Source organism: Homo sapiens, chromosome 9 (genome assembly GCF_000001405.40).
Source record: "Homo sapiens chromosome 9, GRCh38.p14 Primary Assembly".
NCBI lineage: Eukaryota > Metazoa > Chordata > Mammalia > Primates > Hominidae > Homo > Homo sapiens.
Window position 1 is genome coordinate 127,679,876 of NC_000009.12, and position 14,257 is coordinate 127,694,132.

Here is a 14,257-nt window from a genome sequence, read left to right on the forward strand (position 1 = left end):
ATAAAACCTCACATAGATTATGAAAGTGAATAAACTGGAAGAGAAGCAAGAAAAAACTTCTCTTAAAAAGCAGGCTATCTCAGTGTAGCAGCTAGTTACAAAGCATCTGCTATAACTGAGCCCTGTGCTAGGCACCTCTGGCCGCAGGGAAGGGAGCTCTGGTTGTTGCAAACCTGGCCATGGCTTTGCCAAGTGACATGTTCTACAGATCATCTGGCCTTGGTTCCTATCAGCACTTTTCAGACAGATGGCAAGCTAATATCTGTCTCTTTTCCTTCTAGGACACTATTGAGGACAAACTTGACACCAAACACTACCCTTATATCTCTACCCGTTCCTCTGCCTCCTTCAGCACCACCGCCGTCAGGTAGGTGAAAATCCCTTAGCAAGGACAGAGGGGAGCCAGCTCTGGTTGGATGTCAGCTCTGCGGCAGACCCACTGTACGGCTGTGTGATCTACCAGAGCCCTCTCGCTGCTGCTCCCCACAGCTGCAGCGTGGGCCAGGTCTGCACAGTGGTCCCACGGCCCTTCCCCCTCCAGCATCCCGTTCCTCTCTGATTCATCCCTCACACCTCCTCCCTCGCTCACTCTGCATCAGCCATGCCAGCTTCCTCGCACTTCTCAAACAGTCAGGCTTACGTCTGCCTCAGGACCACTGCACTTGCTTTTCCCTCTGCCTGAAATTATCTGTCCCCAGATATGTCTGCATGGGCTGGGCACAGTAGCTCACACCTGTAATCCCAGAACTTTGGGAGGCCAAGGCGGGTGAATCACTTGAGGTCAGGCATTTGAGACCAGCCTGGCGAACATGGTGAAACCCTGTCTCTACTAAAAATACAAAAATTAGCTGGGCATGGTGGCGGACGCCTGTAGTCCCAGCTACTCAGGAGGCTGAGGCAGGAGAATTGCTTGAACCCAGGAGGCGGAGGTTGTGGTGAGCTAAGATCGCATCACTGCACTCCAGTCTGGGTGACAGAGCGAGACTCCATGTCAAACAAAGAAAAAATATGTCTGCATGGCTTGCCTCTTATCTCCTTTGGTCTTTAATCAAGTGTTACCTTCTCCAATCTTCCCTCACCACCCTGTTTAAAATTGCAGTGCATCAGCGTTCACAGCTTTACTCATGCAGTCCAAGTGTGGAGCAGCCCACATGTCCCCCAGCTGACGAGTGGGTAACACACGTGGTCTCTCCACACAGTGGCTCCTGAGAACAGTCAGGGCTGAGCACGCACTCGGGATGGTAGAGTTAGCAGCTCGAGAGGGCGACCCTGGCACTGCAGCTGTGCCACACCTGGCACCCCAGGATGTGCACATCTCTGTCCCTCCTCTCCTGCTTTCCCCACCTGTCTTCTCTTTTGCGTCTCTTCTCTCTGTGTTCACTTTTGGCTTCAGCTGGGCCAGAGGCCTGTGGTGGCCTCTGTGTCATTGTGCAGCCCTTCTCATGGCAGCAGAGGTAAAACGTTTTTTGCCAAATATGGCATAAAATACAAAATCCCAAGTAGCGCCACAGTCAGGCTGGGTGATGAGAATGGGATATCAAATGATTGCACAAGGAAAGAAAGCAACTGTGAGATTCTCTGTTGGCCCAAACGGTGCCCCAAACGGTGTCTTCCTGGTTTGGAAAGTGACTGTAAAGCTGTCATGAGTCAGGAAGAAAGGCGACGCATTGCAGTGGCCAGAAAGGACTTGCTCCTTTCATCTCATTTTTCTCATTTTCTTAACCTGGGAACAACCCATTTATTCCTGTTTCTCAGTCAAAGGTAAAGAGCTATTGAAGGAAGCCCAGGTTCAGAGGGAGGCCCCTCTGGGAGCAGCCTTGCCACTGAAGTACTCTTCCTCCCTGGCTTCGCCGCAATTTCCAGGAGGCAGCTCAGGGATGGAGAAGCCTCCCCAGTGGTGCCCGGACAGGGTTCCAGGGCTTCCCTGTGCTTGGCCCTATAGCACAGAGCTCTTCATCAGACCAGGATTTGGGCTCACTTCCTTCTCCCCACCTGCCCCATTCAATGATGACCTCTTGGTCAAGGCCTGTGTCTCCTTAGGATGTGGTACTGGGGAGGCCCTGGCCTCCAAGAGGCACTCACTCAGTACATGTTTTCAAGGGATCTATGTGCCAGCCTGAAGGCAGATCTTAGACTGTCATCACTGTGCACTGACAGCAGAGTGTCCCAGGCAAGCTCAGAGGCATGTGTGACTTGGGGTAGACGTCTGCATGAGCCTCTAGCAGGGGGATGCTACAGAACTTGACCCAGCAAACGTCAGAGCTGAACTGATCCTGTCTGTTGCCTGCATGTTTCTAAGAGTGACAAGGTCACAGCAGCACAGGCATTCATAGTGACTCTTCTCCTGGGAACCAATCCACTTGAAAATTGCATTGCAGTGAAATTTCAGCCAGCACTCACTAAGCATCTACACTGTTTGGGGCACAAGTGTACAGACCTAATAAGTAAACAAACCACTGGGGTATGAAGCACTAGATGCCGTGAGTGCAGATAAACTGACTGACATTCTCTTTCTCTCTCTCTTTCTCAGCGCCCGCTATGGGCACTGGCATAAGAACAAGGCCCCAGGCGAGTACCGCAGTGGCCCCCGCCTCATCATTTTCATCCTTGGGGGTGTGAGCCTGAATGAGATGCGCTGCGCCTACGAGGTGACCCAGGCCAACGGAAAGTGGGAGGTGCTGATAGGTGAGTGGCCGTGCTTCCAGCGGAAGGCGCCGCCGCATCGCACCTCAACTCCATTCCACGCTTTGGTGTCGCATTCTGTCATAGACTCCCTTGACCCACAAAACTTAGTCTTTAGGTAACTGTGGACAGCAGAAGCTAGGGGCAAAGGGTTCCCTCCTTGGTCTGCCCTGCTGCATCTCTCAATGGAAGGCAGCCTCATGAGGTAGGAAGTGCCTGATCCCAGGGTCCGGCAGACTCAGGCTCAGATTCCTGCTCTGCAAACTGCAAGTGGGGGACCTTGAGCAAGTGGTTCGAGCTCTCCAACCATTTCCTTACTCAGCAAAACAGGATCAGTCATACTCATTCACAGCCTTGAACTAGGCCCAAGATGAGGTCTGTCAGTCTCCTGGCATTGGCCTCATGCCCAGGCAGGAATGGGCAGTGAATGGCAGTCAATCGCTGCCCTGTCAGGTGGAGATGGACAGACAGCTGTGAGCAGGTGCTGCCTGAAACTACTGCCTGACCGCTGGACTCTGCCCAGGGCTCCCCCAGCCACCTCCAACCACTTTCTAGGTCTGCCATGCCCTTTCTCGTATTTCCTGTTCGTTTCCCAAAAGAGAGGAAGCGACTTGTAGGAGCTAGCTTAACGCAGCAGGAGCCTTTTCTCCTTTTTCGTGCCTTTTGGGGGCTTCTATGATGTTTAGGGCTGGAAGAAGATGAACGAGCTAAGAAAAGTCTTGCTTTCTCCAGATGCCTCCCTTTTTGTCCTGTTTTGCCCTTAACAAAATGGAGGGTACCTGCCAGCCTGGGAGTCCCTCTCAACACTGTCTGGCAAGAAGCTGTCATGTTCACTACCCTGGCTGGGCTCTGTCCTCAGTGGAAACAGGCTCACGCTGAGCAAGGAGTGAGGCCAGGGCTCTTGGCCTCCTTTTGGAAGGGGGTGTGCTCTGCACAGTGGGGAATTATACTCTCCAGGGCCAAGGATGGCCTCTCAGGCCACTTACACATGAAGTGCTACAGGGAGAGGCCCTGAGCTGCCCCAGCTGGGAGGCATCGCTGACCTTCTCCCATAGGTGCCCACCACTGGTCTTAATCCCAGGCACAGTCATGATCTCGATAACAAGTGGTGGTTTTATACCTCCTATTTGGGGTGAGCAAGTCGCAGCACCCCCCCCCTCCCAAGCTATCCAAGTGAGCAGACTCCATAGACCAGTCCACATGGCTGTTTCTGGGTTTTTCAAGATGGATCTGGGGCTGTCAGCCGCCTCTCTGATAGCACAATCCAGTGGGGAGACTGTACCTCCCCACCGCAGCCCTCAAGCTTCCCGTGTCAGGTCACCAGCTCTCCACATAACTGTTTTTCCCTTCTGTTGTGTAGCCCCGGTGATAAAGCTCTCTGCTCCCTGCTTGCATATGTATTGCATGAATGTAGTGAGTAATTCTGAGCCCAAACACAGCTTTTCTGGACAGAAGCTGTCACAGCCAGGCTTTGGGTGTAAATCTTCCCCTTCATCTTTAGACCTGACTTGAGGTTCCATATATCGGGAGGTGGGAACCTGGGGGTATGCAGTTGCCCATGAAGATTCATGGAGGGGCCTCGCGCAGACAGCTGACGTCCGCTGTGTGGCCTCCCCTGCTTTGTGCATGCCAGCCTCCTTGCTACCATGTGTGTTCATGCGCGCTTGTGTGTGTGTGTATGCATGCGCACACATGTGTGTGTGTCTTGCTTTCTCATACCTCATTGGCTGCATAAAATGTAGGCCTAAGTTGGCATGTTCCTGTGACGTACCTTTGTTCAAGCAGTCAGCTGGCCTCTGTTCTCCCACAGGTTCTACTCACATTCTTACTCCCACCAAATTTCTCATGGACCTGAGACACCCCGACTTCAGGGAGTCCTCTAGGGTATCTTTTGAGGATCAGGCTCCAACAATGGAGTGAGAGCCAAAGAAACAAAGTAAAAGCAGCTTATTACAGAAAAGAAACTCTTCCACTCTGAAGGGCTTTCTTTGATTATTCCGTCACTCTTTTTCTTTATTTCTTCCTTTTTAGTTTATTATTTATTTGATTTTGTTTCAACAAGAAAATGCTTGCAGTTCTCAACACCGATTGAAAATGTGTCCAGTGCTGCCCTCACAGCCCTGCCATGAACCCTCTGGGCTCTGACCTGCTGGCTCACCCATGCCTTGGGTTCCGCACTGCTTAGTCAGACGCCTGCAGGCTGCTGGGTGGAAACTAAAAATGATAATGACTGCTGTGAACAGTTGTCAGAGAGGGAGCTGAAGTTTTGGGGGATGCCTGAGGCACAGTGCCCAACCCTGCTGGTCTGGGATGAATTTGTGGCCCCCACAAGGAATGTAGAGTGTCCTGGTTGTGCTGGGTGTGGGGGTCTGAGAGCGAGGCCAGTGGACATTCAGGGAACACCATGTCCAGGAAGGCAGGCGGTGGTGGAGATGGCTGGTCGTGAGGGAAGCTTGGCAGGCAATGTAGAATAGACCCCAGGTCAGTGGCAGCTGGACGGATGGTGTGAATACCTTTTTCCTAGGACAGGCACTTCTCAAGGAATAAGTTAAAAGGGGTAATTGGGTCACAAGCCGCCATCTGCTTGGGGAACCCCAATCTTTAGCGGGAAGAGCTTTTGTTTCATGTTCCTCTGCAGGAAACGGCACTTAACAGTCATTTGCTCTTTTACTAATTACTTTTAATTCTGTGGATCCTTTCAAGAGTTGAGTAGTCATACCCCTCTCTCTCCCACTGAAGTCCCTTGGTAAGGTCTGAGAGCCTGTCAGTAGTAATGTATTTTTTTTTTTTTGAGACGGGGTCTCGCTATATTGCCCATGCTGGAGTGCAGTGGCTCTTCACAGGTGTGATCACAACACACTGCAGCCTCAAACTCCTGGCCTCAAGAGATCCTCCTATCTCAGCCTCCTGAGTAGCTGGCACCATAGGCCCATACCACTGTGCCCAGCATAAACCTATTATTAATGCTCTGTGTGGTTTTAGAGAGCATCTTCTGTCTCCCACCAAGCTTGTTACCCAGAACCTATTGTCTGCTTAGTAGACTATCCAAATTTTATTTTATTTATTTATTTTTATTTTTATTTATTATTATTATTATTTTTTTTGAGATAGAGTTTCGCTCTTGTTGCCCAGGCTGGAGTGCAATGGCATGATCTCAGCTCACCACAACCTCTGCCTCCTGGGTTCAAGTGATCCTCCTGCCTTAGTCTCCCAGGTTGCTGGGATTACAGGCATGCGCCACCACACCTGGCTAATTTTTTTTTTTGTATTTTTAGTAGGGATGGGGTTTCTCCATGTTGGTCAGGCTGGTCTCGAACTCCCAACCTCAGGTGATCCACCTGCCTCAGCCTCCCAAAGTGCTGGGATTATAGGCGTGAGCCACCGCGCCCAGCCGACTATCCAAATTTTGATCTTCAAAACTGTCCTCATTCCCTCCTCTCTCTTTCCATCCTTCAGATACGATAGAACCTTCTATGTGTTTAAATGGCAGCCTTCCATCATCACATCAGTGACTCCTTAGCTTGTTACATATTCTTTCATGAGGCCATATTTTGTGTACCTGACTTTGTGTATATCATTGACAATGGACCCTGGAAAAGCCCCTTCACCTGAGCTGAGATGTGGCCCAGTGAGTCACAGAGCATGAGTCCCCTGTGAGCATTGGAGAGAGACCTGGACTCAGAGCCAGGAGGACTGGCCTCTACTCCAGCTACTCCATGGGCACCTGTGTGGCTGTGGGAAGATACCCTCGCTCTCTGGCCATAGCATAGGAGCACAGGGAGGGTGGATCGTGTGCCCCCAGGCACGCAGGACCTCTGACATTCTGTATATTCAGTGATTACGATTTGTGCCTCAAACCATGCAGTCCTGCTCACTCTCTCACTCTCTGGTGATCCTCAGGGGAATGGCCCTTCAGAACCTTGGCTAGGTGACATCAGAAGCTGCTTGTGTATGTAAGGAAAATGGGGCTTCCTCCTAAGGTAGGAACAGGAGGCTACGCTGTTTATCTCCTCCTCTCTCCCTTCCTTGATATGAATGTCAGGGCAGCAGTGTGCTAAGGAACTGAAAGTAGTTGGGAACCCAGAAAGTGGACCTGGTTATAGCCCTAGGCTATAGCTCCCATCCTGCCTGGGCTGGCCCTCCCTAGAAAGCAAGGCCAGTAGGTGGTGAATAAAAGCCATTGTTTTAAAAAAAATCATTCCTTAGAAGCACTGATAGGTTGTAAATCAGAGACATCTGGTTCTGTGTGCAGACTGCAGGTAGGTGGATGGATTTGCTGCAGTATGTATTTTAAGACTTCTAGAAAGACAAATGTTCAGTCGAGTCTGCAGCAATAGCAGACCACTTGCAGGATCTGAAAGAGCACAGACTCAAACTGCAAAGGCTCCTGCTAGGATGAGTTCTGAGCTTCCCTGCTTCAGAACAAGCTTCTCCTTTGCAGAGTATTTTCCTTTGCGTTATATTTGCTCAGCAGAGGTCTCAGCTGCCATCAAAACAAAGAGAACGTAAACAGACTCCGTATATTCCTGGCTTCTGAAATCATTTGCTGAGTGGTGTTGGGTTTTAGAGCATTCAGTTAAGCAAGGCACAGAGCCCTAATACCAGTGAGGTCAGAAAGCAGATTAAGGTCTGACTTGCCCTCTTCTGTTGTGATCGTCCAGGTGACCAAAGTACAGGACAGTGCAGACTGTCAGAAAACTTGAGTGTCCTAAAGACCAGTATCATGGCAGCATATCTTTTGTGTCTTTTTTTCTTTCTTTCTTTTGAGTCAGGGTTTCACTCTGTTACCCAGGCTGGAGTGCAGTGGCATGATTTTAGCTCACTTCAGCCTGGACCTTCTGGGTTCAAGTGATCCTTCCACCTCAGCTCACCTAGTAGCTGGGACCACAGGCATGCGCCACCATGCCTGGCTAATTGTTTTGTATTTTTGGTAGAGACTGGGTTTCACCACGTTGCCCAGGCTGGTCTTGAACTCCTGAGCTCAAGTTATCCCCCAGCCTCGGCCTACCAAGTGCTGGGATTACAGGCATGAGCCACTGCACCTGGCCCAACATATCTTTTAGGAGAGGATGAGTTTTCCTGCAGCAAATGAGAGGGTTCTCAGCAGACACCGTGCATGGGTGATGGTGCCATGCCCTGTCTTCCCAGCTCCTCTCCCTCCTGTAGCTGACGCTGGCTCCCCCGAGGTCAGGGTTAACCAACAACTCTCACTAAATCCTCACCAGTCATCCCTCCACATTGTCTAAAAAATGAAATCTTTTGATTAGATTTTCACCTCTCTGCTCTGGTTAGTTTATGATAAAAGTACTCTTCTTTGGGGAATGCCCAAGAGACTGTGAGAAGCAAATGTGAGAGAGCTGAAGACTGGATCAAGTCTTTGCAGTACATGGGGGCCACTTGGGAGAGAGTTGGTGGGTTTTTATATTGATTATTTTGCTTCATTCCAGATTGGGGTCAGGTATGTTTCATTTTTCTTTGGGACTCAGATTTGAATCTGAATTCAGAGCCCACCTATTGCCTGGCTGCTATTCAAGCATCCACCTGCCCATCCCCTCCCCTCCCAGGGGCCACAGGGTCCCGAGAATCAAGAGCCTGGAGGCACTGCTTCTGGACCTGTCTGTGCCACCCACCCTGAGCAAGCACCTGACTGCTCTGGCCTTCACGTGTCCCATGTGTAGGATGAGAAGGGTGGGCCGGATCACAGTTTTCCAAACCTGGCTAATGATCATACTCACCTGGGCTGCTCTTTAAATGTACACATTTTCTGGCGCCGCCCTGCATATTCTGAGTCAGTAGGTCTGCTTCAGCCAAACTCAAGAATGATTGGACCAGCTAGCCTGCAAGAACACTTTTGGTTTTCAGATTCTGTCCGTGTAGAAAGAAGGATTTTGTCCCATCAGAGCTTGCGGTGTCTGGCCCACAGCTTTGAAAACATGTAGACAGTCATGTAGATGGGCCTCAACTTAGTTTTTAGAGACCACTGTTTACATTTCATAATCGTCCAGTTATAGGGACTAAATAGGACCCTCAGAGCAATAGGGCCCACTTGCTGCTTTATTCTGGAAAACCAACATGGTCAGCCATCTGTGGATTCAAAATGAGAACTGTGCAAAATGTGGATTATGGACTCACTCAGCTTAATTTGCAATGTTTATGGTGGTGAAAAGCTTGACCAATTTATTAAAACAACACAGATGACTGACTTTGAAGAATTGGCTTTCTGATGATCAGCATTTACACCAGCTAGTCTGGTCCCCTTAAAGAAACCACGTAGGTGAAGGCCTAGGCCACAGCCTGTTGCTGAGGGTCTTCGAGGCTTCACTGATTGTCTCCAATACTCAGTCCTAGAATTATTGTTCTTCAGTCAAGACTGGGAGCAATGAATGGTCAGTGATTAAATAATATCAGAGACTTCTAGTGCATTAATTCCCTAACCTCTCTTTGGCCTCTCCCAAATCCTAGATTTACATATCAGCAAAGATAGGGAGGACTTTGGAATCAGCATCTGATCAGAGGAACCCCTTCGGATGCCTCCTTTAAAATGAGTCTGCCCTCTTATTTCCTGGAGTCATTTGGATGGCTAAGGAGGGCCTTGGGGACATTTTCTCTGGCACGTGCGCTCCTTGCTGTTGCTTGTAACGAGGAAGCTCCCAAGCGAATCCTCACGCTCTGCAGGACAGGCTGTCTTTCAGCATCTGGACACGTGGGCTACATGGAGTTGCAATTTGGAGGGCCCCCATCCTGGCAATGGTTCACTCTTCAGAGTTTGGGGCAAGCCTTGTAATATGCGTCCTTTCTCCTCATTTGTACAGCAGCCTTTGGCCTCTTTTAGGACTAGCAGGAGGAGTGGTGAGGTCACAGAAATGAGTGGACTTCAGGGGAAAGGAGTGCTATAAAAAAGCCCAGGGACACACTCCTGAAACCTGCATCGCATTTGCTGAAGGGGCCTCAGGTCTGCAGAATGATGAGTCAGCTTTCCAGCGCAGGGCCCCTACAGGCTGCGTGCACAGGGCATCATGCCGAGGACAAGTTCCTCACTCAGCTGGGAGTGGGCAGCTGGGGCCTGAACTGCAGAGAAAGGGATGTTGGAAGAACAGAGACGGCTTTCCAAGTTTCTGCTAGTCTGGAGTGACCAGGAAGGGCTGCAGTTCCAGCAGTCTTCGGTCAGCTGAGCGAGTAGTTAGTGGTCAAAGGCATAGGGACCCTGGTATTGGAGTCATGCCCAGTGAGCCAGCCAAAGCCTTCTTTTGCCTGCCCTTGGGGTGGAAATCCAGCATCCGGTGGTTTCCGCTCCCCTGCTCCCATGAAGGCCCATTCCTTTGCCACGTCTCCAGGGAGGCACATTTTCAAGTACGTGTCTCTTTTGTTCAGTTCTTGTCTCCCACCAGGACCTTTCTTTGAAGCACACTGCTGCATGCGTGCAGGCCTCATGCTCACCCACACACCACCCCGGTCACCTCTGTTCTGTTTAAGTCCATGTCCAAACCACACGACCCATGCATCTTTTTTTACTGCACTTACTAGATCTCTCTCTCTCTCCTTATGACAAAGACTTTCATTTATTTTTATTTTTATTTTTGCAGTAGAAGTATATCTAATTCCATTAGCTTAAATTTTTGCAAGCATTTCTAATCTCTTACAATACGCGGTCTCTGCAAGGTAAGGCCTCAGGTCCCCTGGCCCTTTCCCTCTCACACCTGAGGTCCCACCCACCAGGGCAGTACCAACTGGCTGGCTCCCAGAGGTCAGTGGATTCTCCCAGGGGGCTTTGCCTATCAACTTCCTCTCCCAGGCACCATGCTTTCCACACATGGTCCCCCTACCAACTCTGGCCCCATTTTCAGCCTTTCCCTGCCTTGCCATGTTTGGAATTTCTCTCCCTGGCTTCACCTGGAGTTTAAGAGTGAATTAGAAACGCAGCTGCCCATCACCTGCAGATGGCTCTGCACCCTGATGGTGAGGCAGCTCGTTCCTTGGTGCAGCCTGGGACCCTGCCTGAGCCAGAGGATGTGTTTTGTTTATCCACAGCCCCCAAATATCTCCCAGGCCTATTGCGACGGGACCCCAACCCCAATTCTGACTCCCCTCCCTGCTTCCACTATACCCAGACCAGGGTTGGGGAGGGGGGTGGGTGCAGATCTGGGAATCGAGAAGCGCAGGAAAGGAAGTGTTGGAAACCAGAACTGGCAAGCTCACTGTCTTCTCTGCCTCCTCCAGGATCCACACACATCCTCACCCCACAGAAACTGCTGGACACACTGAAGAAACTGAATAAAACAGATGAAGAAATAAGCAGTTAAAAAAATAAGTCGCCCCTCCAAAACACGCCCCCATCCCACAGCGCTCCGCAGCTTCCCACCACCGCCCGCCTCAGTTCCTTTGCGTCTGTTGCCTCCCCAGCCCTGCACGCCCTGGCTGGCACTGTTGCCGCTGCATTCTCGTGTTCAGTGATGCCCTCTTCTTGTTTGAAACAAAAGAAAATAATGCATTGTGTTTTTTAAAAAGAGTATCTTATACATGTATCCTAAAAAGAGAAGCTCATGTGCAATTGGTGCACAGCAGGAGAAATTTCTGGACTGTTAGGATGAATGGACGCCTTCTCCCCGTTATTTAAGATTTGTGACCTTGTACATAACCCTGGGTGACGTGCACATTGCTTGGGTATGGAACGGTAGAAATTTGGGTGTTTTTAAAACCTTGTTTGGGGTTGTTCCTGTCCTTGTTGAGAATCATAGAGATGTCTGTGTTCTTGGAGTATTTCACACTGAGGACTAATCTGCTATCTTCATTCCAGTCCCTACCCCTCAGTGCCTGCTCTCATCCAAATAACCTGGGAGGTGACAATCAGGATATCTCAGGAGGTCCAAGGTGGAACAGACCTCTTTGCCTTTCCCAGCGTCTCATACCCCCGGTAGTGCAGCTGTGGGTGGAGGCTGGGGTGTCTGCACGAAGTCAGGCCAGCGTCCTCCTCCACAGCCTGTCACTGCCCCCTCCCCAGCCTGTGTCCACAGTGCTGTGATCCCGAGGGAAGTCCTCCAGTCTAAGTCACAGTGCCCTGACAGGTGAGAAGCAAACTCCCGCTGGAAGCCTCCATCTCTTTGGAAAAACAGTTAGTCTGGAGCCTGTGGCCCAGGCCCTTCTGTCCCCAGGCATCATCCCAACAGCTCATTTTCCCTAGTCCGCCTTCGTTCAAGGGTCAGGAATGGACCAGAACAGATGGGTTCTGGAGGCCCCTGAACAGAGGGCTATGGCTGTGGAGAAGGTTCTTGGCCCGTTGGACTCACACAGACCCTGTACCCTCTCGGCAAGCATCTTCAGTCAGATTATCCTCAGTTTCAGATACTTCATAATACCTTGTGTTGTGTGGGGTCATACATCATCGTGTTTGTAAGAGAAGATGGTCATTTTATTCTCTGTATAAAACTTAGCTCTAAAGCAGAAACTAAAGCAGCAAATGCAGGAAGGCTGTCTCGCCATCCTCAAGACTCAGCAGCTCTCATTCTCCAGTGGTGAGCACACCATTTGTGCTGCTGCTGTTGTCGTGAAATATAATAACAGTGGAAGTCACAAAAATGTCCCCTGCCCAGCCCCCTCGCCGCCCTTGACCTCCTGCAGGCCATGTGTGTATTACTTGTCTAGTGATGTCCTCTCAAAGTGCTGTACGCGAGCTCGGCGCCACCTCCGCCTCCCTTTCAGAGCCTGCTCCCCGCCCTCTCTGCTCGCTGCATTGTGGTGTTCTCTTCTCAAGGCTTTGAAATCTCCCCTTGCACTGAGATTAGTCGTCAGATCTCTCCCCGTCTCCCTCCCAACTTATACGACCTGATTTCCTTAGGACGGAACCGCAGGCACCTGCGCCGGGCGTCTTACTCCCGCTGCTTGTTCTGTCCCCTCCCTCGGACCAAACAGTGCTCATGCTTCAGGACCTTGTTTGTCGAAGATGTTGGTTTCCCTTTCTCTGTTATTTATATAAAAATAATTTATCAAAAGGATATTTTAAAAAAGCTAGTCTGTCTTGAAACTTGTTTACCTTAAAATTATCAGAATCTCAGTGTTTGAAAGTACTGAAGCACAAACATATATCATCTCTGTACCATTCTGTACTAAAGCACTTGAGTCTAATAAATAAAGAAATCAGCACCCCTTCCCGGTGTCCAGGGGGCTCCAGTCTGGCTTTCCTTTGGGCAACGGAAGGAGAAAGCTTTTGCAGTGGTTCATCGCAGAGGAGGCGACCACCTCCGGCTGTGGCATGGAGTCTTCTGGACCCAGGTCCCCGTTGCTTGCGTTAGATCTGTAGCCGCCTTACACTGGGGACTAGCCATGGAGCTTGTCTTGGGCCCCTAGCAGCAACAGCGTGCTGCCTAGAGATGAGGCCATTCTTCCACCGTGTTTCTCCTTATCTAGAATGCTTTTCTTTCTTTCCTTTTTTTTTTTTTTTTTTTTGAGATGGAGTCTCACTCTGTTGCCCAGGCTGGAGTATGCAGTGGCGAGTCTCGGCTCCCTGCAACCTCTGTCTCCCGGTTTCAAGTGATTCTCCTGCCTCAGCCTCCGAGTAGTTGGGATTGCAGGCAGCCACCACCATGTCCAGCTAATTTTTGTATTTTTAGTAGAGACAGGGTTTTGCCACGTTGGTCAGGCTGATCTTGAACTCCTGACCTCAGGTGATTCGCCCACCTCAGCCTTAGAATGCTTTTCTAACGCAGGCACTGCAGGGCTCCATCTTTGCAGATGCTCCCTCTCCAATCATGTGGTGCCTGTGTATTTAGGGCATGCAGTGAGATCACTTCACCAGCGTTACTCCTCTCCTCCTCTGCTCCTGCTGCCGTACCACCCACCCTACGTGTATAATGAACTTCTCTCCAGGATGGAAGGCGGTGTGTGTCCTGCTTGTCTTGGAACCTGCTCCTGACCTGAGAAGACTGCAGTGAGGTGGGCCCAGCTCTCAGAGTGGACCCGTAAGTGAGGGTCGAGGCCACACGGGAAACTTGCTAGAATGCTGGGCCCCGGGGAGTGAGACCCTTTGTAGGGACTTCTGTCTCTACTTCTTTTTCCCCCATCATTCTCATTCTGATCCTGATCTCCTTTATAGCACTGAGAAAGCTACCAACTGAAGGGCAGTTAGTGGAATTTGCACCACCACAGCCTGCTATAGTCTGGTGAGACATGCCTCATTAGGAGGGAACAACCATTGACTGACCCTGCCAGGCCCCTCACATACTTGTCTGTTAGGCAGATCCTCTCCCATTCTACAGATGAGGAAGCTGAGGCTCAGAGAGATGCAGAAATTCAGAAAGCTCACTCCCCTGACACCCATTGTTCTGTCTTGTTGTTGTTGTTGTTGTTGTTGTTGTTGTTGTTGTTGTTTTGAGACTGGGTCTCACTCCCTTGCCCAGGCTGGAGTGCAATGGCCTAATCACGGCTCACTGCAGCCTTGACCTCCCGAGCTCAGGTTATCCTCCCACCTCAGCCTCCCGAGTAACTGGAACCACAGAACCACAGGCACGTGCCACCATGCCCAGCTAATTTTTGTATTTTTCTGGAGAGATGGAGTCTTTCGTATTTTTCTGGAGAGATGGAG

At 50.4% G+C, this 14,257-nt stretch overlaps 1 protein-coding gene and 1 non-coding gene across 13 annotated transcripts in view; one reads left to right on the top strand and one right to left on the bottom strand.

The window, feature by feature from the left end:
* STXBP1 (syntaxin binding protein 1) overlaps positions 1-14,257 on the top strand; it is an 84,118-nt gene that overhangs the window by 67,964 nt on the left and 1,897 nt on the right. For 6 of the 12 annotated variants that reach the window (NM_001374309.2, NM_001374310.2, NM_001374312.2 and 3 more), the window contains 3 exons: positions 282-367; positions 2,531-2,685; positions 10,900-12,824. In NM_001374309.2, coding sequence (NP_001361238.1) covers positions 282-367; positions 2,531-2,685; positions 10,900-10,982 — 324 coding nt within the window. In that variant the 3' untranslated portion in view covers positions 10,983-12,824. Of the gene's footprint in view, positions 1-281; positions 368-2,530; positions 2,686-4,492; positions 4,619-6,582; positions 6,663-10,899; positions 12,825-14,257 lie in introns of those variants that run through there. The other 6 variants (NM_001374308.2, NM_001374307.2, NM_003165.6 and 3 more) reach the window with 3 other exon arrangements.
* MIR3911 (microRNA 3911) lies at positions 10,812-10,920 on the bottom strand. Its single transcript, NR_037473.1, has one exon. It is a non-coding gene; the product is annotated as a microRNA 3911 (primary transcript).